This window comes from Homo sapiens, chromosome 9 (assembly GCF_000001405.40).
Source record: "Homo sapiens chromosome 9, GRCh38.p14 Primary Assembly".
Taxonomy (NCBI): domain Eukaryota; kingdom Metazoa; phylum Chordata; class Mammalia; order Primates; family Hominidae; genus Homo; species Homo sapiens.
Window position 1 is genome coordinate 119310745 of NC_000009.12, and position 25452 is coordinate 119336196.

The following is a 25452-nucleotide window of genomic DNA, read 5'->3' on the forward strand; positions in this document are numbered from 1 at the left end:
TAACGTGCCGTGTCCATGCTAGCATACAGGAAGACAGGCACAATGGAAACTGCCTATGGACATGCTTTGCTGAAACGTCAATGTTTCAACAAAGTGGCATACAGGAAGGAAAAAGTATCAATTCACAATTGCCCCAGTGAGCATGTCCTAGTTGGCTGTTGCTCTGATGAGCATCTGGATGAGCGCATGTCTCTGGGTGCATATTTGCATATGGGTTCATATGCACATTATGACAAGAGTTCCGCCTAATCCTTGTACATTGTTGGTGCCAAATCAATGTTTGTGGTATTTATGATTTCCCAGTTATACACATCCTGCACATTTCTCTTTATAGCACTTGTTATACCTTGAAATGTGCATGTGTTTAATTACTGTCAGTCTCTCCTATGACAGCAACTACTATATTTATTTTACTCTTCATTGTATCATCTGCCCTAAACATAGTGTTGAGTCTGTAGCTGGTGCTTAATAATTATTTGAGGATTAAATAAAAGAAGGAAGGAATAACTAGATGACCAGGGGCCTAACTTCTGGGTTGAACTCTGTCATTTAATTAACAATTTGACTTTGGCTAAATCTTAAATGTAATTTTGGAGCTAGACAGATATCTTAGAAATCAACTTATTGGATGATTGCAAACTTTGTTTTAGGAGTAGAATCCAAAGTAAATCATACATGAAATCTTAACACAAAAGCAGATACAAGCCTTCTCTAGTATAAGGGAGGTGTAGGGCTCAGAATCCTGCCTGGTCACCTCTTTGCTACACTCCCCACAATGGTTTCTATGGCTACTTTAATCAATCCTTAGGTTTTTGAATAACATAGGTTGAAAACTGCTGATCTACCTCAGCCCTATCATTTGATAAATTAGGACAGCAGAATGCAAAAGATGAAGGAGCTTACCTAATGTCACAAGACCAGTGCGTGAAGAACTGAAATCAGTATCTAGAGGTCTTAATCCCCCATCCTCATTGGCAACCTTTTACTTCTCAACATGTCTAAAACAACCCCCCAGATGTTTACAAATGATTGTAACGAAAAATGTTTGGAAAAAGTTTCTTAGAGCTTGCAACACTCCACATTTGGAAGCTATACCAGGGGAGGCATCCAACAGAATGCTTGGAAGGAAAGCACTGGGGTCAGGTAAATCAGTGTGTAGACCCTAGCTCCACTCCTTACTGGATGGATGACTTAAAGTAACACACTCAACCTCCAAATTCCTGATTTTCCCATCTGTAGAAGACACTGCCCATCTCATAGAGGAGGTTATGAGGATTGAACATCCTCCCTTCATGGCACATGATAAGTGCTCACTAAAAGGATGCTACTGTTGAATATTCTGAATCTGTGGTTCCATTCAGGATATGTCTTATTTCAACAGCAATAACCAACACATATGGATTATCTAACATGGACCAGAGTTCCCTTTATAAAACTGCATTACAGACACCACCATGTGATATTATAACTAGTTATCCTCCTAAGACCACACCTAACTACACCTGAGAGAGTTTTTTGCATTCTCTTATTCATTTAAGTCCACAACATTCACTGTGTGTTTATGATAACAAGGCAGAGCAAAAATCACTCTGGGGAGGATCTAGAAATGAATTCTGTATAGGTCATTCCCTCAAAGAGTTTCCAGTTAGGTGAGAAAAATATACAAGAATGCACTCTGATTCCAAATGATTTTAAATTAAAGAGGTGTTAGTGTAGAGAGCTGTGGATCTATCAAAGATATGGTTGTTAAGTGGAATGTGAAAACTCTAAGATGGTTCCAAAGAGGAAAGAATTTGGGCTAAGTCTTTTTTTGGATGAGTAGAATGTCAACGGTCCAAGAACCAGTACAGACCTGCTTAACAAAAGGTTTCTTTATTTTTCCAAATGTTTGAATGTATTTGGGTAGGATATTGGGTACATCAGCAGCATTCTCAAAACAACGTTACTTATACTTGATGTGGCTGACTAAAATTATGATATACCAGATAAACCAGATTCTGAATCCCAGTCCAACCACTTCTAACTATATGACATTAGACAAGTAACTCAACCTAGCTGAGGCTTGATGACCTAATTTGTAAAGTGGGAAAAACAATCAAAACCTATATCTGATGGCTATTAGAATGTTTAAATGAGATAATATATAATACGTATTAAGCCCCCTGCCCAGCATATAAATAAGTACTCAATAAATATTAATTATTTGATCCTCTCCTTGTCATTGTTAATCTCTTGTGCAAAGAAAAAAAAAATTAATCAAAAACAGCTTGTGGAAGGAGCACAGACCCTTGACCCAGACACTTCTGCACACAGCAAGGTTTGCACCAATCAACGCCTGACTCCACAAAGCATAATATGAATGTAAGGCAAGGGCTATTTAGCCCAGGTCTTACCTGTATATTTTATATCTGGTTGTAAATCCTTGACGGTGTCTTTCCACAAAGGATAGGTAGCTCCTGGAGTGGTGGAAAGGCCCCCTGTCTGAAATGAGCCAATCAAATTCCTTGGAGACATGTTGGTCTGTCCCAGCTGGTTCCTGGTGGGAGGGCTGCACTGAGATACGGCCCCATATAAACAGGAAGTAGAGGAGCTCAACAAACCTCCAGTTCATGCTTTTCTGCCGGCCTTTTTCCTCTCATTCTTGCTCCATTCTGTGGAGTCCTATAGAAGAAAGAATAAAAAAGAGAGAGAAAAAAAGAGAAACCAAAAGAGAGAGAGGAGAGGGGAAGAGGAGTAAAAGAAAAAGACACAGGAAAAGAAAAAATGTGATTAACACATCTTCATAATAATACCTTATATCAGTAGAGTGCTTTAAAGTTTATAAAACCCAGTACAGTTCTGGTTAAAAACATAGAATCTATGGAAATCTGGGCCCATGTTCCCATTTTGCTGTTCACATATTGTCTGAACATGTACAAACTGTTTGGTCTATTATGGATGCAGTTTTCTTGGAAGTAAAACTGAGGGTGAGCTTACGAGCCTGTATCTTGGCACTTGGCACATCATGGATGCTCAAGGAAGATGTGTTGAAAAAATGAATAAATGAATTAATGCAGAAACAGAGTCTCATACACCCAGTAAGAGACATAGGGACACAATTCAAGTGAGTGTACCCTCTTCTGTCTTCACTAACAACCTGCCTCTCATAAAGAGGTATCAATAAACAAGAGTTCCTTTTCCTTCTCTCAGCAGGCATGTATCCACTGAGCACACATTTTGCTTTTGCATGAACAGATGAATGCACAAAGTCTTGTGATGGATTATCATGACTATCTAGGTTGAATACTTTAGAGACGAAGAGTTCATGGAGCTTGCTTACAGTTCACTTCTGCAACGTTCAATGGAATGTCTCCCAAACCCAAAGAAACATGGCCAGAGAATTTGTCTTTTGGTGACTCAGCCTCAAAGGTTGCCCAGGGTTCAAAAGGAAAACTGAAGGCGGTCATTTTGTCAGGGGGTCTCGCATGCTTCTTTTATTAGGGGGTCTTATGGCACAGTGGTGCTGCGAGGGTGAAATGCTTAAGCCTAAGGGGTAGCTTTGGTAGAGAGGTACCTTGTGGAGAGGATAGACCAGAAATCACAAGGCCATGCCAATTTTGTAAACACAATTTACACTTTTTGTTTAGTTTTGTTTTGTTTGAGACGGAGTCTCACTCTCTCACCCAGGCTGGAGGGCAATGGCACAATCTCAGCTCACTACAACCTCCGCCTCCAGGGTTCAAGTGATTCTTCTGCCTCAGCCCCTCAAGTAGCTGGGACTACAGTCACGTGCCACCACACCCAGCTGATTTTTGTATTTTTCATAGAGATTGGATTTCACTATGTTGGCCAGGCTGGTCTCGAACTCCTGACCTCATGATCCGCCCTCCTTGTCAGTCTACTTACTCGCTTAACTGTATGTGACCCCACCCTACTTATTCTAACAGAGCTTCTCTTACTCCATATTGAAAGGCAGCTTTAAATCCACTTTGTATCTGTTAGAAACAGTAATATTTCAGGTCATGTATTTAACTTTCCTGACATTCAGTTTCCTTATCTGCAAAATGTGGTTAATAATAGCACCTACACTCAGAACCAAGATGACAATTAAACGACATAATTGCTCCCTCTTGTGCCTGGCATACAGTAAGTGCTCAATAAATGTCACGTATCATGATGAGGATAATGATGATGAATGTCGATACTGATGTCAACTTATTCCCTATGACAGTGTTTTTGTTCACCTGATCCCCACTGCCTGGCCAAACCCTGTTTAAATCCTTCAATAGCCAGCTGAGATCATGTCCTCAGAGGTCATTTTCTTTTTTTATTAATTTAAAAAAGCGTTATTTGTTTACTCCTCTGAGCTATAGTTGCTCATTTTCTGTAACTGCATTTTAGCCCTTATCACCTTGTATTATGCTTACAGGCATACTTCATTTTATTGTACTTCACTTTATTGAGATTTGCAAATATTAAAGTTTTAACAAATCGAAGGCTTGTGGCAGCCCTCAGCCTAGCCAGTCTGTTAACACCAATTTTCCAACAATGTGTGCTCACTTTGTGTCTTGGTGTCACATTTTGATAATTATCAAAATATTTCACACTTTTTTATTATTATTGTATCTGTTATGGTGGTCTGTGGTAAGCAAACTTTGATGTTATTATTGTAATTATTTGGGTGCACCATGAACTGGACCCATATAAGATGGCAAACTTTATCGATAAACCTGTGTTTTCTGACTGCTCCACTGACTAGCTATTCCCTTTCTCTCCCTTTCCTCAGGCCTGCCTACTCCCCGAGAAATAATAACACCGAAATTAAGCCAATTAGTAAACCTACAATGACCTATAATTGTTTAAGTGAAAGGAGGAGTCCTACATCTCTCACTTTAAATCAAAAGCTAGAAGGCATGGCAAAAGGCAAGATAGGCTGGAAGCTAGGGCTCTTGCACCAGTTAGCCACATTGTGAATGTGAAGGAAAAGTCCTTTAAGGAAATTAAATGTGCTGTTCCAGTGAACACATGAATGATAAGAAAGCAAAACAGCCTAGTGTTGAATGAAGAGAGTTTTAGAGGTCTGGGTAGCAGGTCAAAACAGTCACAACATTCCCTTAAGCCAAAGCCTAATTCAGAGTAAGGTTCTAACTCTCTCCAATTCCATGAAGGATGAGAGAGATGAGAATGCTGCAGAAGAAAAGTCTGAAGCCAGCAGAGGTTGCTTCCTGAGGTTTAAAGAAAGAAGCCATCTCTGTAACATGAAAGTACAAGGTGAAGAAGCTAATGCTGATGGAGAAGGTGCAGCAAGTTATCCAGAAGATCGAGCTTCAATTATTGATGAAGATGGCTACCCTAAACAATCTATTTTCTTTCTTGTTTTGGAGACAGGGTCTTGCTCTGTCGCCTAGCCTGGAGTGCGGTGGTGCAATCTTGACTCACTGCAACCTCCACCTCCCGGGTTCAAGCAATTCTTATGCCTCAGCTTCCCCAGTAGCTGAGATTACAGGTGCACGCCACCATGCCCATCTCATTTTTTGTATATTTAGTAGAAACAGGGTTTCGCCATGTTGGCCAGGCTGGTCTTGAACTCCTGACCTCAAGTGATCTGCCCGCCTCAGCCTCCCAAAGTGCTGGGATTACAGGCGTGAGCCACCGTGCCCGGCCAACAACCTATTTTCAATGTATACAAAATAGCTTTATATCTGAAGATGTCGATGATTTTCATAGCTAGAGAGAAGTCAGTGCCTGACTTCAAAGCTTCAAAGGACAGACTGTCTCTCGTTAGGGGCTAATGCAGCAGGTGACTTTAAGTTGACGCCAAATGCTCACCTACCATTCCAAAAATCCTAGGGCCCTTAAGAGTATGCTAAATCTACTCTGCTTGTGATCTAAAGCCTGGATGACAGCACATTTGTTTACAACATAGTTTACTGAATATTTTAAGGCCATTATCCAGAACTACTGTGCAGAAAAAAAGATTCCTTTCAATATTATTGCTCACTGACAATGCATCTAGTCACATAAGGGCTCTGACAGAGATATACAAGGAGATTAATGGTGTTTTCATGCCTGCTGAAACAACATCTATTCTGCAGCCCATAGATCAAGGCATGATTTTGACTTTCAAGTCTTATTGAGAAATACATTTCATGAGGTCAAGAGATCGAGACTATCCTGGCCAATATGATGAAACCCCGCCTCTACTAAAAATACAAAAATTAGCTGGGCATGGTGGTGCGCACCTGTAGTCCCAGCTACTTGGGAGGCTGAGCCAGGAGAATCGCTTGAACCCGGGAGGCGGAGGTCGCCGGGAACCAAGATCGCACCACTGCACTCCAGCCTGGTGACAGAGTGACATTCCATCTCAAAAAATAAAATAAAATAAAGAAAAAAGAAATACATTTTATACTGCTATAGCTGCCATAAAAAGGGATTCCTCTGATGGATCTGGGCATTGCACATTGGAAAACTTCTGGAAAAGAGTCACCATTCTAGATGCCATTAAGAACATTTGTGATTCATGGGAAGAAGTCAAAATATCAACGGTAACAGGAGTTTGGAAGAAGTTGATTTCAAACCTCATGAATGATCATGAGGGGTTCAAGACTTCAGTGGAGTAAATCACTGTAGATGTGACAGAAATAGCAAGATAACTAGAATTAGAAGTAGAGCCTGAGGATATGACTGAATTGCTGCAATTTCATGATAAAACTTGAACGGATGACGAGTTGCTCCTTATGGATGAGCAAAGAAAGCAGTTTCTCAAGATGGAGTCTACTCTTGATGAAGATGCTATGAACACTGTTGAAACGACAACAAAGGATTTAGAATACTACGTAAACTTAGTTGATAAAACAGTGGCAAGATTTGAGAGTACTGACTCTGGTTGTGAAAACAGTTCTACCTTACGTAAAATACTATCAAACGGCATCACATTCTACAAAATTATTTCATGAAAGAAAGAGTCAATTGATGTGGCAAACCTCATTGTTGTCTAACTTAAGAAATTGCCACTGCCACCCAGTCTTCAGCAACCTGACCACCCTGATCAGTCAGAAGCCAACAACATTGAGGCAAGACCTTCCACCAGCAAAAAGATTTTAACTCACTGAAACTTCAGATGATCATTAGCCTTTTTTTAGTAATAAAGTGTTTTTAATAAAGGCATATACATTGTTTTCTGAGACACACTGCTATCCTACACTTAATAGGCTACAGGATACTGTAAACATAAGTTTAATATGCAGTGGGAGGCCAAAAAATTGGGGTGATTCAATTTATTGCAATATTTGCTTTATTGTGGTCATCTGGAACGCAACCTACAAATCTCTGAGATATGCCTGTATTTGTTTCTATGTCTGTCTTGTTCATTGGGCTGTAAGCCTTTAACTGGAAATGATCTTTAGAAAACTAGCTACTCTCGCTCAGCTGCATGACTGTGGACAGTCATGTCCCCTCTCAAGACCTCAGATTTTTATGTCTTCCATGTGAAAATGTGGTGAGGACACAAACAATTTGTCAACTGTAAACCCATCTATATACATGATTAAATATGACACCTCATTTGTCTACTTTTCCAGCTGAATATGAAAGATAAAGCAAAGCTGAGAAAGAGAAAAAAATTTAAAAGAGAAATGTGATTTATTGCCCAGTTGGTTATTTCTCTCTGTTGCCCATTGCACTGTTTTATCATGAGTCGCTACAAAAATCTGCTTGTCACTGCAAGTCTCAGTTGTCAGGGGCAAAGGAGAAAGGTACATGAGCAGAGGAGTGAGCTGGCAAAAGCTGTGGCCTGAGGTCTTGTTCAGAGCCTAAAACAAATCCGTACATGTTGAGTGCAGAACAGTAACAACTACGGCTGCCAAACTGTCTGCCAGAGCCCCCAAGTGGCAAGCAGGGGATGAAGGCGATTGTTGGGAGATCCTGGTAGTGATACAACACACTGAAGTCACAGTGTGTCACCCACACAGCCCTTCTACATGGCTTCTATTGTAAACTGGTGCAGGGTGGGAGCCTGTGAGAGAATACTTAGCTGTTAGACTGTTTGCAAAGAAACAAGGCTCAGAACATTGCAGCTCTCAAAAGTGGAACAAGGTCATACATGGAAGAGAAATGTGTGGGGTGTGTGTGTGTGTGTGTGTGTGTGTGTGTGTGTGTGTGTGCAGGAGAGTGAGACCTCAGCCTACAGTCCCAGAATTAGCTGAAATTTGGAAGATTTAACTCGTACTTCCCAAGTGTGGACCTTTTGCTCCCCAGGGAACATCTTTGATCCTCACAACTGAGGGGATGCTGCTGGCATCTGATGGGTGGAGGCCAGGGGTGCTGCTAAACATCTTACACTGCACAAGACAGCCCCCACAACAAAGAATACGGGACCCCACATGTCAATGATGCAAATGTTGAGAAACCCTGCTCTAATCCAACTCCTTTTTACAGATCATAACCTGAGTGGCAAATTGGGCTAGACTCCTATCTTCTAGCTCTCGGTTAAGAGTTCTTCTCATTCTGCCACATTGTCTTGGCCAGGCACTTGGCATGTATGGCTATGTTTCAACCTGCTTTGTTCTTAGGGCCTGTAATACCATCTACATTTCCTCAAGTAGAGATGAATGTTTCATGGAAGAAGTCAGAATATATCTCTGTTGATTTAGAACATCACAGTAATCCGCAGAGCACCAGAAATGAAAATGAAAGTTTCTATAGAGTCCTTGACTTTATTAATGGAAATGGATATTTTGTTGGGCTGGAACAAGGATGAGTACATATGTTACCCATATATGTTATGATGGCAGGGAGTGACTCCCATTATGTAAATAAGACCATATTAGCACCAACTGTGCTGGAGACTCCAGATAATATGAGAGTCACATTATTGGTATTTATTGAGCATCTACTATATGCTGGCTTTAAAATGGTTTATTTTCTTGGTAGTTGCCAAAGCATACAGTCCAGAGCAGTTATTAATAAAGATGTATTCCACAAAATGGGCACAGTTACCCAATTTAACAAATGAGCACCTTAGGACTTGGAGACATTGAATAACTTTCTTAAGCTCACAATTCCCAAGTGTCAGACTTGGGATTCTAACCTGTGAATATCCCATTACACAGTCTGTACAATTTCCAGCATTCCCCAGCCTCATCTCATTCCAGCTGAAATTAGATCCTGCTCTCCAGAGATTCAAAATATAATGGGGGAGTCACACCCAAGTGTGAACAATTCTAATATGAAATATGCTGCCATAAATACTATAATAAAGAAATGAAGTCCAACGGAGGAATGGATGCCAGAGAGACTGTTTTCAGCAAAGGCACTGAGAGAACCCCATAGAAGAGGGAGGTAGTACTTGAGAAGGGTTTCAAATAGCATGTACAGTTTTATTGAGCACAGATGGGGAAAAGGAAATTTCAGCAGAACAGACAGCCTACAAAAGCCTTGGGTGGGTGGGAGAAGGTAGGAGAGTGATGGGGTGTGTGCTGGGGATAGCACACCAGGTGGCAGAGTACTTAGGGAGAACCAGGGCCCTGAGGCAGCTGATCGCCCATCTCTCACTCTATCTCCCTCTCATCAAATGAACTGTGGATTTCATTTCTGTACTACCTGCTAAAGTCAAAAAGCATTGTGGATGGTCAATAAATTTATCTATTCATTCATTACCATACTGAACAACTATTATGTGTCAGGTACTCTTCTAGAAGATAGAAATTCAATAGTGGACAGAACAGCCAGGGCCCTCAAAGAGCTTATTTTTGGTTAGTAGGGAGAGGGGAGGAAACAAATGGGCACTGACTCTACGTGTGGTGAGTGCGAAGTGCTCCGAACAAAATCAAAGCAGGTCAGAGGGCTGAGAGTGGAGGTGCTGCTTTCTATGCGAGGGTGCTCAGGAAAAGCATCTCTGATAAAGGGGCTTCCAGGCAGAGACCTAAAGAAAGTAAAGAGATGAATGGTGCAGATGCCTCAGGGAAAAGCAATGTCAGTGGAAGAAAGGAAAAGAGACAGGGACAGGGTGGGTTCAATGCTCGGCTATAATCAGAAGTCAGGTTGCATTTCCATCTCCCACAGGGAGCTTATACTTTAGTTGCTGTGAAAGTCATTTTGAGGAAGAAATCACACATTAAGTGGACACTTACTATGTGCCAGAAACTGCACTTATTGCTTTACACATGTGACCCATAGAAATACCAGGAGAGGGAGGGGTTATGGTCTCCATTTTGTTTTTTTTTTTGAGACGGAGTCTCGCTCTGTCGCCCAGGCTGGAGTGCAGTGGCGCTATCTCGGCTCACTGCAAGCTCCGCCTCCCGGGTTCACGCCATTCTCCTGCCTCAGCTTCCCGAGTAGCTGGGACTACAGGCGCCTGCCACTGTGCCCGGCTAATTTTTTGGTACTTTTAGTAGAGACAGGGTTTCACCGTGTTAGCCAAGATGGTCTCGATCTCCAGACCTCGTGATCCACCCGCCTCGGCCTCCCAAAGTGCTGGGATTACAGGCGTGAGCCACCGCACCCGGCCATTGGTCCCCATTTTATACATGGTGAGGAGGGGAAACTGAGGTTCAGAAAGGCGAAGTAACTGGCCTCATACCACAAAGCTGGCAAACAGCAGATTTAGAACTGGAGACTGTGCTGCCCAGTTTGGAAGCCCCTGGTCACATGTGTCTATCAAGAGCTTTCGATGTGGCTAGTCCAAATGGAGGTGTGCTATTCATAAAAATACACACCAGCATTTCAAAGACTTAGCAAGAATAATGGAATTTATTTATTTTTTTTATTTATTTATTTTTTAGTTTTTTGAGACAGGGTCTCACTCTATTTCCCAGGCTGGAGTGCCGTGGCACAAATCCAGCTCACCGCATCAGCGATCCTCCTGCATCAGCCTCCCCACTAGCTGGGACTACAAGCACGTGCCACCATGCCTGGCTAACTTTATTATTTTTTGTAGAGACTAATTTTATTATTTTGGGGAGGCTCAAGCCATCCTCCCCCCTTGGCCTCCCAAAGTGCTGGGATTAAAGGTGTGAGTCACCATGCCTGGCCAATAGAATTTTAAATAGCTTACTAATGTTTTATATTGATTACATGTTGGAATATTATGATCTGGGAAATACTGGATGAAATAAAAAATTAAGGTGGCTGCTAGAAACTTTAAAATTACACATGTGGCTGGTATTCTACTTCTATTGGGCAGCGGGGGTCAGGATGAACCCTCATACTCTATGACACTGCTCCAGAAGGTCATTCATCCATCTCCACATTTTTATCAACAGCGTAGAACCCAACTTACTCTCCCTTAGAGCCATTGGGTTGAGCCACTCTCCTCTTGCCTCCAAAATCAACAAATTAACAATAAATACACCGGAAATATACATTTCCATGTTCAAGGGCCACATCTCCCAAGCCCCATGCCCTAGCAACAGTCTTGAATATCTACTACTATGCATTTCAGAACTGTTGTTCTTCCAAAAGATTCACAAAGGGAATTTCCTGCCACTGGAGTTTAGAGCTTGTGAAAGAGAGGCTGGTTCTATTCTGAGTGCTGCCCTTGACCTCCTGCGACCTTCAGTGAGTCACAGGCCCATTGCTGCACAGGGCTCTGGTCTACCCAGAGCCGCCAACACTGGCTGTGGCGTGGTGAGCACGTGGGGCCCTTGGCTGAACTGTGCTATATATAAGCCTGCAGTGTTATTAAGGGAGTCGGGTTCATCCCACACAGAATGCATTCTCTAATTGTTGCTATTGTAAATTATTTACATCCGAGGCACACACTCAGGAGGAGGAGATGAGAGAATGACCTTCCAGCAGCGCTGTTACCAAGCTCATCCTCTGGAGCTTTCTGCATGGATTGCTGGGCCATGACCCATATTCTGGGCCAGAGGTAGAAGGGAATGCCTCCTCCCTCCCTCCGCCCAGGTGCCTGAGAAACTGGGCTGATGATCGCATCTGGGAAGTTAACCCACAATACTTGCCTCTTAAACCTGAGTCAACTGGATAATCTCATCTAGGCTTAACTCTCAAATCTGCTTCTCCAGATAAGACTTCTCCCCAGTAATGCAGACCTTCAAAGCTGAGTGACCTTGGGCATGTTATTAACCCCCTCTGTGCCTCAGTTTCCTCATCTGTAAAATGTGGGCAGTAACAGGGGGATGCACATCTCTTGGGGTTCAGATCCAAATTAAACATAATTTTAAAATGTAACTATTTGTCTTAGTTTCAACTGAACCCCAAAACTACAGCTACCATATTCCAAACACAGGTGCACGACCATCATATAGGACTTATAAAAACAGGCAACCAAAATGCACTTTTTGGGGATTCTTAACTTCTTACCCACATCACAGCATGAAAAGTAAGATGCCAGGACTAGGAGTGGAGTTTGAGTGGCCTCTGACAGTGCTGAGCCCTCCTTTCTACCCTCTAAACTTCTCATGGGCAGAATGGGGTATAGAGGCCCCTCACCTCAAGCTTCCACAGGACAACTCAAAGAGCATGGCAAAGGTCTCCTGGAGCTTGGGAGAACATGGAGGATTGGTGTCTAACTCACATCAGAGAAATCTCAAACAAAAATTCCAAAGAGAGAAATCTAAAGAGAGGCAGGCTGAAACCCAGCAGCAGAGCAGGGGCTGCAATTTGGGAAGCAACTGCCTAGTTCATGGGTAAAAGGAATGTGTCCCCTCCACATAGATCAGAGGTGGGCCACCTACAAGGGAAAACTGGGTGAGGTTGCTTTCAATCCTGACCCAGAGGGAGAGGTGATGCCAGAGACAGGAAACTGGAATAATCTCCCTGCCATGTACCAAGGGTCCAAAGGATAAGTGACAGGCAAGCAGCTAAAGATACATTTTCCTACATCAAAGGAATCACAAGTAAGAAATCCCAGAGAAAAAGGAAAACTCCAAAAACACCCCCAAAGAAATGCTGCCAGTAAGAAAAGGTTAGCATTAAACATCTGCCAAGGCTGCAAAGCACTGATGCTAGATCATCAGAAAATACTCATCAAGGAAGAATCCTTCTACCTTCTCACTTCTCCATTGTTGGCCAAACTTTATGCCTTGAAGAAGTCAGAGGTCAAGGTTAGCAAGATGGAGGAGGCATGGTAAAATTGTAACTTGGGGAAAGAGGAAAATCTGGAGGAAGAGTGAAGTTTCCACTTTAAATAAAATATTTGTTGTAATATACTGAACTAGACAGATTGATTACTGAGCAGAGACTATGTATGGAGAATAGAGGTGAACCCCCCAAATTTTCACCTGAAAAAATTATGGTCTTTCCTTAACTTTCATCCAAATGTCAGAGGAAACCTGATCCAAGAGTTAAGTCTAAAAAGTGGGTGAAAAGAAGCAAGTGGTTTTTGCTTTTGTTTCTTTCTGATCTTGCCCTATGAATCCTGTTTAGCCAAAGGGAAGATTTCATGAATTAAAACACCTTGGTGCCCAACTCAGTACAAACGTCCAATTAATTCCAATGAGAATTTACTAATCAGGGTATACAAGGCAAAAAAAAAAAAATTCTTAGAATTTCTAGTGTACTTGTTTACTACCTATCTTCAAGACTCATCCCACATACCAGTCACAAGTCACCAATGGTCATGAAGTGAAGAGCAGAAGCCCTACTGCACAGTGGGTTCTGTTTTTCCTTTGGGGTATTGTGATAACTTGGTGTTTTTATCGGTGCCTAGTGATATGGAGTTTAGGATTCTATCATCTGACTTTAACTAAAATGAGCAAGTGGCTTCAAAATACTATTAGGAAGAAACTTTTAATTGGCAATAATGAAAATAATTCAAGACAACACAAACAAGAAAATGGTGAAGGGCCAGCCACCCTACAATGCTCAATCAAAAGTGAGATTTAATCAGGTTTATCAAGAATTGGAAGATTCAAGATAATCATGAAGACTAAAGTATGGATTTACATCTGCTATCATTAATGCTGACCCTTGCTCTAAGTGAATCTTGAACACTGGGGAATTGAGATATTAGCTAGTAAAGTTAATATGTGTAAATAATTTATATACATACATTCATAGGAAGGAATACTGCCAAAAATTTCTACTGATTGCTACATGTGTATCTTACAAAAACATTCTAGAAAACCTTGGAATGGCCGGGCACAGTGGCTCATGTCTGTAATCCCAACACTTTGGGAGACCGAGGTGGGCAGATCACCTGAGGTTGGGAGCTCGAGACCAGCCTGACCAACATGGAGAAACCCCATCTCTACTAAAAATACAAAAATTAGCTGGCTGTGGTGGTGCATGCCTGTAATCCCAGCTACTCGGGAGGCTGAGGCAAGAGAATTGCTTGAACCAGGGAGGCGAAAGTTGTAGTGAGCTGAGATCACGCCATTGCACTCCAGCCTGGGCAACAAGAGTGAAACTCTGTCAAAAGGAAAGAAAGAAAGAAAGAGAGAGAGAGAGAAAGAGAGAAAGAGAGAAAGAGGAGAGAGGAAAAAAGAAAACTCTGGAATGAGTGTTCATTATAATTTGTATATTTTACATTATTATTTTTAACCACATAATCAACATCTCTAGGAAATCACACAGGCTTCTCAAGCTCAAAATATCCCCAACCAAACTCATTATCACCCTCTCAAACTTTCCTGTCTCCCAGTATTCCCCATCCAAGTAAACCATACAATCTCCCAAATCATGCCTGTGAGAAGCTTGGGACTTTTCCTTTTTCCTCCACCCTATTCGGCCATTGCCACTGCTGCCACAACCATTTCCACATCCTGTCAATTTACTTTGCTTTCACATCCATCTACTTCCTTTGCCAGTCTTATTCTTCTCCCTTCTCTCTAAACCTCAGAGCAATCTTACACTCTTCCCTTTGCCTTACACACTTCTTTTTTCTAAGCCTATCCTCGTTTGACACCTGTCATTCCATTTGGAACATGACTAACTCTCACTTGGATTATCACAACCATCTTCCTACTGGTCGTCTTGCTTCATGTCTGTCTACCACCTCCATCCTAAGCCCTTGTTGCCAGAGTGATCTATCAAAATACAGATGCAACCATGACACTCACCTAATCTAGCAGATCCAGCCATTCCCTATTGATTGTTTTACCCCTTAGTCTTGCCTTCAACAATAAGCTGAATCCTTTTCCTACTTCCATGCTTCCACACCCCATCCTCAACTCATCTTGTTCTCCAGATTCTCTCCCCAATTGCACCAACTGAACACACTGTAAATCTCCATGCCTCAGTGCCTTGTTTAGACTGTTCCCTCTCCTTGCAATGCCCATCCCTGTTTCCCAACTTTATAATAGGCAATTCATGGCTAAATTTATTAGTAAGAGTGAATGAAAGATTATTGAGCATGTATTACTTGCTAGATACTATGTCAGACTCTCATGCCCAATAGCATTAAATCCACAGAACAATCCCATAAGACATTAAATTGCATTATTTTGATTTTTGCAGATGATAAAGCTGAGGCCCTTTTAAAGTATCTGATTATTTTTCCAGTGTTGTAGTACCTAAAAATGGCAGAATTGAACTTAAACCTAAACCAATTCTAAGTGCTATGACTCAGGGTTTTAAAACAGTAAGCTAAGAAACCACATCATCCCTAATTGTAGTTTTCTTATTTTGACCAGTGTGAACTACCACAAATCAACTGTAAAAATGTTAATAAAGAGAATTTCTGATAAATCATCTTGAAGCATGAAACTCCTAGAAATAGTGAATCTAGAGAAGTTCGTGGAAAACTGAATAAAAGTTAAAATATGTAGAATAATTATTTTTGTAATTTTTTTCTGTGATCCTATTATATTTTATTAACAATATAAACCTAAGTTATGTATAGCACTTTTTTTCTTTTTAAATATTTCATTTGGACCCACATTTAGAAATGTGAGGGTCTAAATTCAGGGAGACTGCCTTTGGAGCTTTCTCCCCAAATTATCAGCAGTCTATGCAAGAGATCTTTCAAAAGGGGAAGTGAAATAAATATTTTGGAGTGTTTATTGTAGGCCAGTTTGCTACAATTCAATAGATATTTCTTGATCCTCTATTTTAATTGGCTCTCACAGTCCAGAATGCGAGATGGACATAGAAATAGGTAATTTCAGTATAATGTAATAACAGAGCAAAGACAGGATACGTCCAGGGTTCTGTGGAACACGGGCCCCTAAACTAGGGTCTCTGGAAATGCTTCCTGGAGATGACATCTAGATGAGGCCTTAGAAGACAGAGAGACATTTGTGAGGTAATGAAAAGTTTGGCCTGCATTTCAGACCAAGAGAAGCATGTGAAATGGCATGAAGGAGTGTGTTGTGAGTATGGAATCTACAAACATTTCCCAGTTGCTGCAGTGGGAATTTTGAGGCAGGGAGTGGCAGAAGATGAAGCAAAACCTCAGTGGGATCACTTATTACATAACCATATCATTACCAACAACTGGTAGTTTCTTGGGGACCAAGATTCTTTTTTATTTTATTTTAGTGCTGGGGTACATGTGCAAGATGTTCAGGTTTGTTATATAGGTAAACATTTGCCATGGTGATTGGCTGTACTTATCAACTCATCACCTAGGTATTAAGCCCAGCACGCATTAGCTATTTTTCCTGATGCTCTCTCCTACAGTGCCTTCAACAGGCAGGCCCCAGTGTATGTTGTTCCCCTCCCTGTGGAGGACCAAGATTCCTGTTTCCCCTCCTATGTATGTCCAGCATCTGGAACTAATTATTGGGTAGGTACTGAATCAATATTTATTGAATGGATGAACTGTACAAATTGAGAGCTAGGATTCACTCCATGGGATCACAGGGAACCATGGGAACCTTCTAAACACAGTAGCTTTATGTCAGAGTTTCATTTTAGATGAATTACTCCAACTGCAGGGGTTAGTGGAGAGATTTAAGGTAGGATGAGGAAGCAATTGAGGACACTATAGATTATACATGGTCTGAACAAGACATCTTGTATTAGATGGAAAGAAAAAAATGAGAAGCAAAATTAGCAAGATTTGGTGACTGGGTGGATGAAGTGAGAAAAGGAAGGTGTATACAATGACTCTTAGTCTGTTTTGGTAACCAGGTTAATGCTGGTGCTATTCATGACAATAAAGAATAATGGAAAAGGAATGGGTTTTGAGTAAATGATGACAAGTTCCCTCTTGGATCTGTTGCATTTGAGGTGTCCATTGACATTCAAGTTAGGATTTCTAGTAGGCTACAGAATCCTTGAGAGAAAAAAAAAAGAAGAAGAAAGGCCAGGGCTAGAGGTAAATATTTGTAAATCACTATGAACCAGTGGTGATTAGAACTACAGGAGTGGATGAGACCACTCAGTAAACTCATGAGTCAAGAGTAATGCAAATAAATAGTAAGCAATGCCCATTTTTAGTCAGCATGAAGAGGAAGAGATATCATAAAGTGGACTGAAAAGAGATAGTACGATGGATGAAGGGGAATTATGAGAGAATAATGGCAACAAAGCCAGGGGAGCAGGGGTGTGTAAGAAGAAAAGGGTCTCAAGTTTCAAAGGCTACAGAGTGCTAGAACAAGATAAAGATGCAAAATATCTGTTAGAATTAAGAATACAGAGGTAGCTGACAGTTGTCAACAGCATGATGGAAACAGAAGATTCATTGAAAGAGATTAAGGCATGAATGGGATGTGAGTCAATGGAGACACAGAGTATACAGTACTTGGCTAAGATGGAAAAAGCAGAAGAGCAAATGGCTCTCCTTTCTCCCTACCAGAGAGGGAAGCCAAGAGTCAATGGAAGATTTTTTGTTTTCTTTATGGAAAGACTTTAGTATATTTAATTCTAGGATAGACCTAGAATTAAATAATAGAATATGAGACAGAAAGATAATTAGCACTTATTGAGAGAGTGGAATGGAGTCTGGGATAGGGTGGCCAAACTCTGGACCAGACACTTGGTAATTAAATAGAAAGTGTCCATGACTTTAGGGAGCCATAGGCTGATAACGGAGATAAATCTGTAAAACCCAAATTACAAAACAATAGATTGAGTATCAGAGACCTGAACAATGTTGTTGGAGCAAAGGAAGGAAGAAGTAACTCAAACAGAGCCAGTTCAAAAATACTTCTCAGGGGAGCTGAGATTTGGCTTGGGAGTCAAAAAGACTTCTCAGGGGAGCTGAGAATGGTTCAAACAAGGATGTGCCAGCTGAAAGGACAAAACAAAAACAAACAAACAAAAAAACCCAAGAGAAAGTTTTCCAGGTCATGAGAGCAGTGTGAGCAAAAGCATGGAATCATAAAAACCCACCACTAAAATGAGTAAGAAATGTAAAGAATAAGAAAAGTTTGCTGCCCCCACAGAGGCATATTGAAGAGCTTGGAGGCAGACTTGGAGGCAGAAATAGATGCCAAAGATAGAAACAGGCACTACACAGGTGCTCAAGATACAGCGACTCAATAAAGAAACAGATTGTTCTGGTGAGTTAGTGGCTTTGAGTTCTTCCCTGGGGTTAATTATTCTTAATATTCAGTGGAGCAAATAGATAAAACACTTAAGTTTTGTGTTTGAATCCAAATTCCAATATTTACTCATCAAAAGTTCTGACCCTTGGCCTGATGTTTCCAGCAGGTCCCTACTGAAATCAGGTGAAAAGTTCTTGGTGGATTCATTTGTATAGAAACTACCATGGTTCAGCTAATTCTTCTGCAATGTTGTCATCCTTTTATAGAGTACCTTTTAAATGATGAACTAAAAGTACAGCCACAGCTGTCACTTGTCTGTGACAATCATAGAATCCAAGAAAGAAGGCAGGGGACACATGAGTGTTTAAGCAGATGCTGGATGTGCCTGGGCCGGCAATCACAGGTTCAGTGTTGAGATTGAGCACTCTGCCTCTTCCCACTCTCTCAAGGTTCTCCTCACACCATCCTTGCATTCCAGTAAAACTTCATGCTGCCAAGGAACTGAGCTCCCATTTGATCTCTCAGCCACTTTTAACATACACAGGACAAAGATTTATATTCTTCATTTCAGTGATGAGAAAATGAACAGTCAGAGAGGTAACACCAGTAAATTATTTTAATAAAACAGGCATAATTCACTGAGCCCTCAAAACAAGCATCTGAAGATGTGATTATCATTCCTATTTCATAGGTGAGAAAAAAGCCAGAAAGTTTTAGAACTTTCTGAGACCCATGGTCTCAAAGCTACTGTGAGGCAGCAGCAAGATCCAAATCCATGTAATCTGGTTTCTGAATCCACTAGCCAGTGATACCTATTTAATGTTCTACTTGGATGAGAAGTAGACTTGGATCTAAACTCCTGCCATAGGCCCCGAGCTGGGCTTTCAGTCTTATACTTTCTCATAATTCTTCACTTTGATAGAGAACAATTTATTTCCCACACAGAAGCACATCCATGGTCCACCAGTGAGGGATGTGAACATATTACAGAGGGTGCCAATTTTTTTTAACCTTTTCCACATGTCTCAGAATTCGAAAAGACACTAGGAGTGCTCACCATTTTCTTTCTCTGCCTTTTGCTAAACCAGAGCCATCTAATTTCCCTGTTAAGACTGATCTTTACCTCCTCATCACCTGAAGGATACAGTCCAAATTCTTTAACAAGGCATTTTATTTCTACCCTGCCTACTTTCCAAACTCACCTCACCACCATCCACTCCCCCATGCTCTTCCCTCCAGCATACCAAACTTCTTACAGTTGCCTCAAGGTTTTGCAAATTCTCTGAAATGCCTCCATGTCTCTAGGTACTAAAGAGCAAATTCTTACTGTCCCTTGACAATTCATCTCCAGTATCTTCTCTGGAGGCCTTTATTTGAACACCAGTAGGAGTGAACCCTCCCATATTTGGGACTTTGCTGACATTGTCCATTCTTCTTTGTGTTTCTATCTCATTCAATGGTTGACATTTATGTTTCTGAGACTGAATGATGAGCATCCTAAAGGTAAGGCCCAGGTTCTAACACAATCCTATATCCTTACATTTAACATAAAAACTGGCATGCAATAAATGTGATTGACCTTTCATATTTGCCTCTCAGGGGCCTGTTTTCTCTTCTTAACAGTCATCAAGGCTGGATGCAGTGGCTCACACCTGTAATCCCAACACTTTGGGAGGCTGAGGCGGGGGGATCACGACTTCAGGAGTTCAAGACCAGCCTGACCAGCATAGTGAAACCCCATCTCTACTAAAAATACAAAAAATCAGCCAGGCATGGTGGTGTGCAACTGTAGTCCCAGGTTCTTGGGAGGCTGAGGCAGGAGAATTGCTTGAACCCAGCAGGTGGAGGCTGCAGCGAGCCGAGATTGTGCCACTGCTCTCCAGTTTGGGTGACAGAGTGAGAATCCATCTCAAAAAAACAAAACAACAGCAACAACAAGAAACAGTCATCAATTTTTACTTGGAGTTCTATTGCTTTCCCACATTCAGTTCTTGTAGTGTGATGGGTAGTTTCAGGATCAGTCCATGATTCGACTTAAAGAAGTAAAATGTAAAAGACCCCCAGGACCAAGAAAGCAAGGCTTTGCTACCAGACCTGAACCTAAAGGGAAGAGAAGCTGGAGGGTTGGCAGGCATTTTATCACTATGAGGAGGAGCCTTGGAAAGGCAGGACCAAGACTTGTTCTAAGATGAGACTAGAGAAACCCTGGAGCAACCTGCTGCCCAGCTCTGCTCACAAGATTTAGTTACATAAGACAATCACATGATTTTGTTGTTTTGGGTTTTGGATTTTTCTTGCCTTAAAACAATTTCAGTTTGGTTCGCTACTGCTAGCAGCACACAGAGCCCAAAGAAATAACAGCAATTTGTCAACAACATCTGCATCCATATATAACATCGGGAGGTTCCAGTAGAATTTAATTGGCTCCTTCTATGGTACTGGTTTGGGGGTGTTCCTGCTGTCATGAGTGTTTCTTTGTAAATATGTAGATGATGAAGTCTGTCTTAATCCTTTAACACTCTCTCTTCCTAGCTTTTTCTAGACCTCCATTGATTACACAGCTGCCATTCTGCCCAAGACCTCCAGCTTTACTAACGTGAGAATCAACCAAAGATACAAAGATACAAGAAATTCACTATTTCCATCCCCTTGACACTATCTGAGGTTTCACGAAGAATATTCCACAGACCACTTTGGTCAAAATCGCCAGGGATGCTTAATAAATGTTCAACCTCTTGGACCCTTCACCAGACTTACCGAATCATAAATCTCTCTAGTAAGAAGTGTATAGGGATCTGCACTTTTAGTAAATTCTCCGGTGAATGTTATACACTAAAGGGTAAAAGCCACTATCTGAGCTGGGGAGGAAGATCAGCAGGATCAGCTGAGGCCATTGCTGAACTCTAAGAAATGCCTTCCTATTGTTGCAGGGACAAGCCTCCTGATGAGCTAGAACCAGGGTCCTTCCTGTTACCTTCAAACTCTGAATAAAAAGCTGTGCACTCTCTGATTTCTAAGGGCCCAACCAGTCCCATGTGTATGATTTTCAGAAGGCTACGTCACCACTCCGAGGATCTATTTTCCCATCTGTGTTGCTAGATTCAGGAACTCTGTATATAACCATTCTAGCTACCATTTTTAGTCCTTACAATATTAATAATAATTTACTAATGACAAAAAAAAATTGTAAACACTTACTGTATGACAGAAGCTGTGTCAAGAATTTTGTAGATGTTACCTCAATTCATCTCCATAACAACCTATGGGATAGTTGTGGTGGATTACTTTAATGGCCCCAACACATCACCCCTCCCTATCATTAGGCACTCTGTCATGTACTTTTTAGCCCTTCTACTAAGGAGGTAGAATCTATTCCCCTTTCCTTGAATTTGGGCTCATCTTCATAACTCCCTTTGGTCAGATGAGGCAGAAGTGATGGTGTGTCAGTTCTGAGCCTGTACACAAGACACCTTGTGAGTTTCTACTTAACCTCTGTGCTCCTGCTACTGTCACAAGGACATGCCTGATATTTCAGAGGGAGGATGAAAGACATGCAGAGCAGGCTCTCGAGCTAACATGACTCAGCCAAGCCAAGATTAGAGTAGAGCACCCCCCTTCCCCACTGAACTGCAGGAGCAAGAGCAGCCCAGCCTAGATCAGTGAGCCTGGGTTAGGTCAGCTGGCCCTAGCTGCCCCACTGATGCATGAGCTTCAAGTGCCAGCTGTTTAAAGCCAATGAATTGGGTGAGGTGGTGGGAAGAGAGAGGTTGTTATATAACAAGTTTACGGTAATAGCTAACAGATACACTAGGTAATATTAATATTCCCACTTTATAGATAAGAAAACTGAGGGTCAGTGAAGCAAAGTAACTTGTTCAAAGTCACACTATTAATAGTAAGAGCCAAAGTTGGGATTTGATGCTAGATCTATTCAAAGCTTAGGCTCTTAATTCACATTAAACTGTCAGCTACTGGGTTGAGGACTCTGGTCCCCAAGCTATGTGTCTTTAATCTAGTGTGGCTTGTGAGTCTCAAGCAGTCTCTGACTTTAAAGTGAATTTCTGGCAGGCTGTGGTGGCTCATGCCTGTAATCCCAGGACTTTAGGAGGCTGAGGAAGGTGGATTTTCTGAGCTCAGGAATTTGAGACCAGCCTGGGCAACATGGCAAAACCCTATCTCTACCAAAAATACAAAAAAATTAGCCAGGCATGGTGGTGCACGCCTGTGGTCCCAGCTACTCAGGAGGCTGAGGTGAGAGGATCACTTGAGCCTGGGAGGCAGAGGCTGTAGTGAGCCAAGATCGTGCCACTGCACTTCAACCTGGGTGACAGAGTGAGACCTTGTTTCAAAAAAAAAAAAAAAAAAAAAAGTTCTTAAAATATTTCTAATCTTCAAATAAAAAAAAATAAATTTTCCCCTCCAGATTTCATTAAAAATTCTGGAGGTGAGGTCCAAAAATCTGTAGTCTTAAAACGCTCCCGTATTATTTTAATGCATTTGTGGGGATGAATGGCCTATATTTGGAGTAGGAGAGAAGGGCTTGTCCTAAACGAGGGGACACTGAGTATTCACTGAAGTTCTTTCCATCTCATAGGCTGTGAATGTGCAGTCTACCTTAATCCATCTATGCATAAGAAAGGAAGCTTGCAGGCTTTAAATCAGAAAGGAACAAGGTGTTTCATTGGGAGCCTAAGGAAAGAAAAAAAATATATATTGCATCTTTTGGATGAAAGGGCCCTTAATCTTCAAAACACAAACCATTTTCCATACCAAAGCCCCTTCAAGTCTAGGAAGTCTGCTGGGGCCTCAAGTCAGGCAAACAGCTTGTGTTTTGCAGATTAAGGGGCCTTTGACCCAGAGGATCCATTTTTGTGAAACTCCAAAGGAAATGCCTGGTCTATTTCTAGCCCATACACTCCCTGACAGAGGCAGCTCTAAATGCAGTCTGAGAAGAAGGCCGCTTCCCTGCTGGGAGTGGGGCCCAGCACACAGGAGGTAGTTAGATGAATGGAAGGTTTCCTGAAAGAGATCCTTTGCCTCAAAATATCATACCTGCTTCCTTGCCAGGATGCCCCAAATGCTCATTATAGAATAAACACAACTTTGAACTAATGAAAATTCCTGCTCAAGGAAGAGGGCCAATCATGCCAACCAGCAGGAGCAGGCATATTTCTAACACCTTCGAATTGAGGGGTACATTACCTCATTCGGTTTTCACAACACCGTGTTGTTGGCACAACGGGGAAACTGAATCATCACCCCACAGGCAAGGAAACTGAGAATTGAAGTAGTGTGCCTAAGATTACCCAAGCAAGCTCTCATGCTCCTCCCTAATCAGACCCCAGCCATAGGAATTCAACAAGGGCAAGATAAAGTCAGAAGCAGGGTTATTTGTGGAGGATAAACTAGAGCATGCCATCAGGTTTAGCTGACACTTAACTAAGCTAAGTGAAAATACCCCAATTCTAGCCTCCACTACTACTATAGAGGCAAGACTTGGGGCAACTGATATCCCTAAATCTCTGGAACTTGGTCTCTGCACCTGTGCAACGAGGAAGGTAGACTTAAGTGTTTTCTTATGTTCCTTCCAAGAATCATAGTACTTGTCTTGGACTATAATTCTGTACTGGTGAAATAAGGAAGAAACTTGCACTTTATGGAGGGGGTGGGGGAGGGGAATAGAGAGAGAGAGAGAATCATGCTCAATCTTGGCTCGCCTTGGATGAGGGGACATTGTGCCAGACAAGAGAGATCGAGTCTGAGGAAGTGAATGGATTTGATTTGTCTAAGCCTTAGCAAAGCAAATATTACTGAAATGTTGGCTGAGCGCCACTGACTTCCAAACAGAAAATGGCTTCCAGATATACTGTGGGAGCTCAGCAGGGTCTGTTAGAGTGAGTGATGGGGTGGCCATGCACTGCTGGAGAGCAGGGAGAAAGATTATAATATTCTCCCGACTGAGACGGACACAAACAGCCAGCTCAGGAGGAGGAGAGAAGGCACCAGCTGAATGTCCCCTAAAAGGCTCAGATAATTTACAGAAATCCCAGAAGGGCCTTTGGAAACTGTTAACCTAAGGCTGCTTGAGCCAAGTTACGTGGTTAGATGCCAAGAGAGTTGGTGAGTGCAGCAAGCACTGATGTGGGAGTCAGGAGGCCTGAGCTCAGGGCCCAGCTAGGTTTCTAATTCATCATGTGATCTGAGTCAAGGCTCATCCCATCCACAGACCTCAGTTAGTCTGTGCAGAAAGTTGGAAGTTTTAAATTATCTCTAAGGGCCCTTCTAACTCAGGCATTCTATGACACACTCTATCGGTGACTCACTCAACAGGTACCTACTGGATACCTTTCCAATATCAGTGATTCTTTCAACAGGTACTTACTGGATACCTTTCCAATATCAGTGATTCATTCAAAAGGTACTTAATGAACACCTACCCAATATCAGTGATTTGATCAACAGGAACCTAATGGACACCTATCCAATATTAGTGATTCATTCAACAGGTACTTAATGGACACCTATCCAATATCAGTGATTCATTCAACAGGTGCTTAATGGACACCTATCTAATATCAGTGATTTGTTCAACAGGTACTTAATGGACACCTTTCAAGTGCCATGCAGTGTGCTCAGACTTCTCTAAATCTAAAATCTGCTTTCTGTGAGATTATCAACACTTTCCTCAGGTGGGCACTGGCCTAAAGGTATCATCCAATCCAGCCTTCTACCTTCAGGAGGTACAGCCTCACAACATGGTTTGATGTTCATCTTATTCCTGATGGCCCATAGAGAAGAGAAAGGGCTTTCCTTGAGAACCACTAAGATTTCGTGCAGTCAGGATGTTCTTCTTTTGAATGCCACCTGAGACTTGCTTGATGTCCAGGGAGGTAGTTATTGCTAAGGCTGACATGTATGGGTAAAAGTCTCTTGGTGTGCACATTTATTATGTGTTATTGGCATCACCATTTACATGTCAGGTATAGATTGAAAAGAAAACCCCTCAGAAATGTCAGGGTGATGTTTCCTTCAAGTGCTCTGGAATACCCTAAATTAAACGGTCCTTAAAGAGAATGAAATG

General features: G+C 41.7%; 1 protein-coding gene across 1 annotated transcript in view, besides 1 other annotated feature; it reads right to left on the reverse strand.

The window, feature by feature from the left end:
• BRINP1 (BMP/retinoic acid inducible neural specific 1) overlaps nucleotides 1-25452 on the reverse strand; it is a 202807-nt gene that overhangs the window by 144116 nt on the left and 33239 nt on the right. The window contains exon 2 of the mRNA NM_014618.3: nucleotides 2394-2661. Within this exon, the coding sequence (NP_055433.2) occupies nucleotides 2394-2611 (218 nt within the window). The 5' untranslated portion in view covers nucleotides 2612-2661. The remainder of the gene's footprint in view (nucleotides 1-2393; nucleotides 2662-25452) is intronic.
• Nucleotides 11609-12109: an enhancer, noted in NCBI's record as "H3K4me1 hESC enhancer chr9:122084631-122085131 (GRCh37/hg19 assembly coordinates)". NCBI's record gives its function as "activates a minimal SCP1, AML or CMV promoter by ChIP-STARR-seq in primed H9 embryonic stem cells {active_cell/tissue: H9 hESC(primed)}" and the evidence as "EXISTENCE:reporter gene assay evidence [ECO:0000049][PMID:30033119]".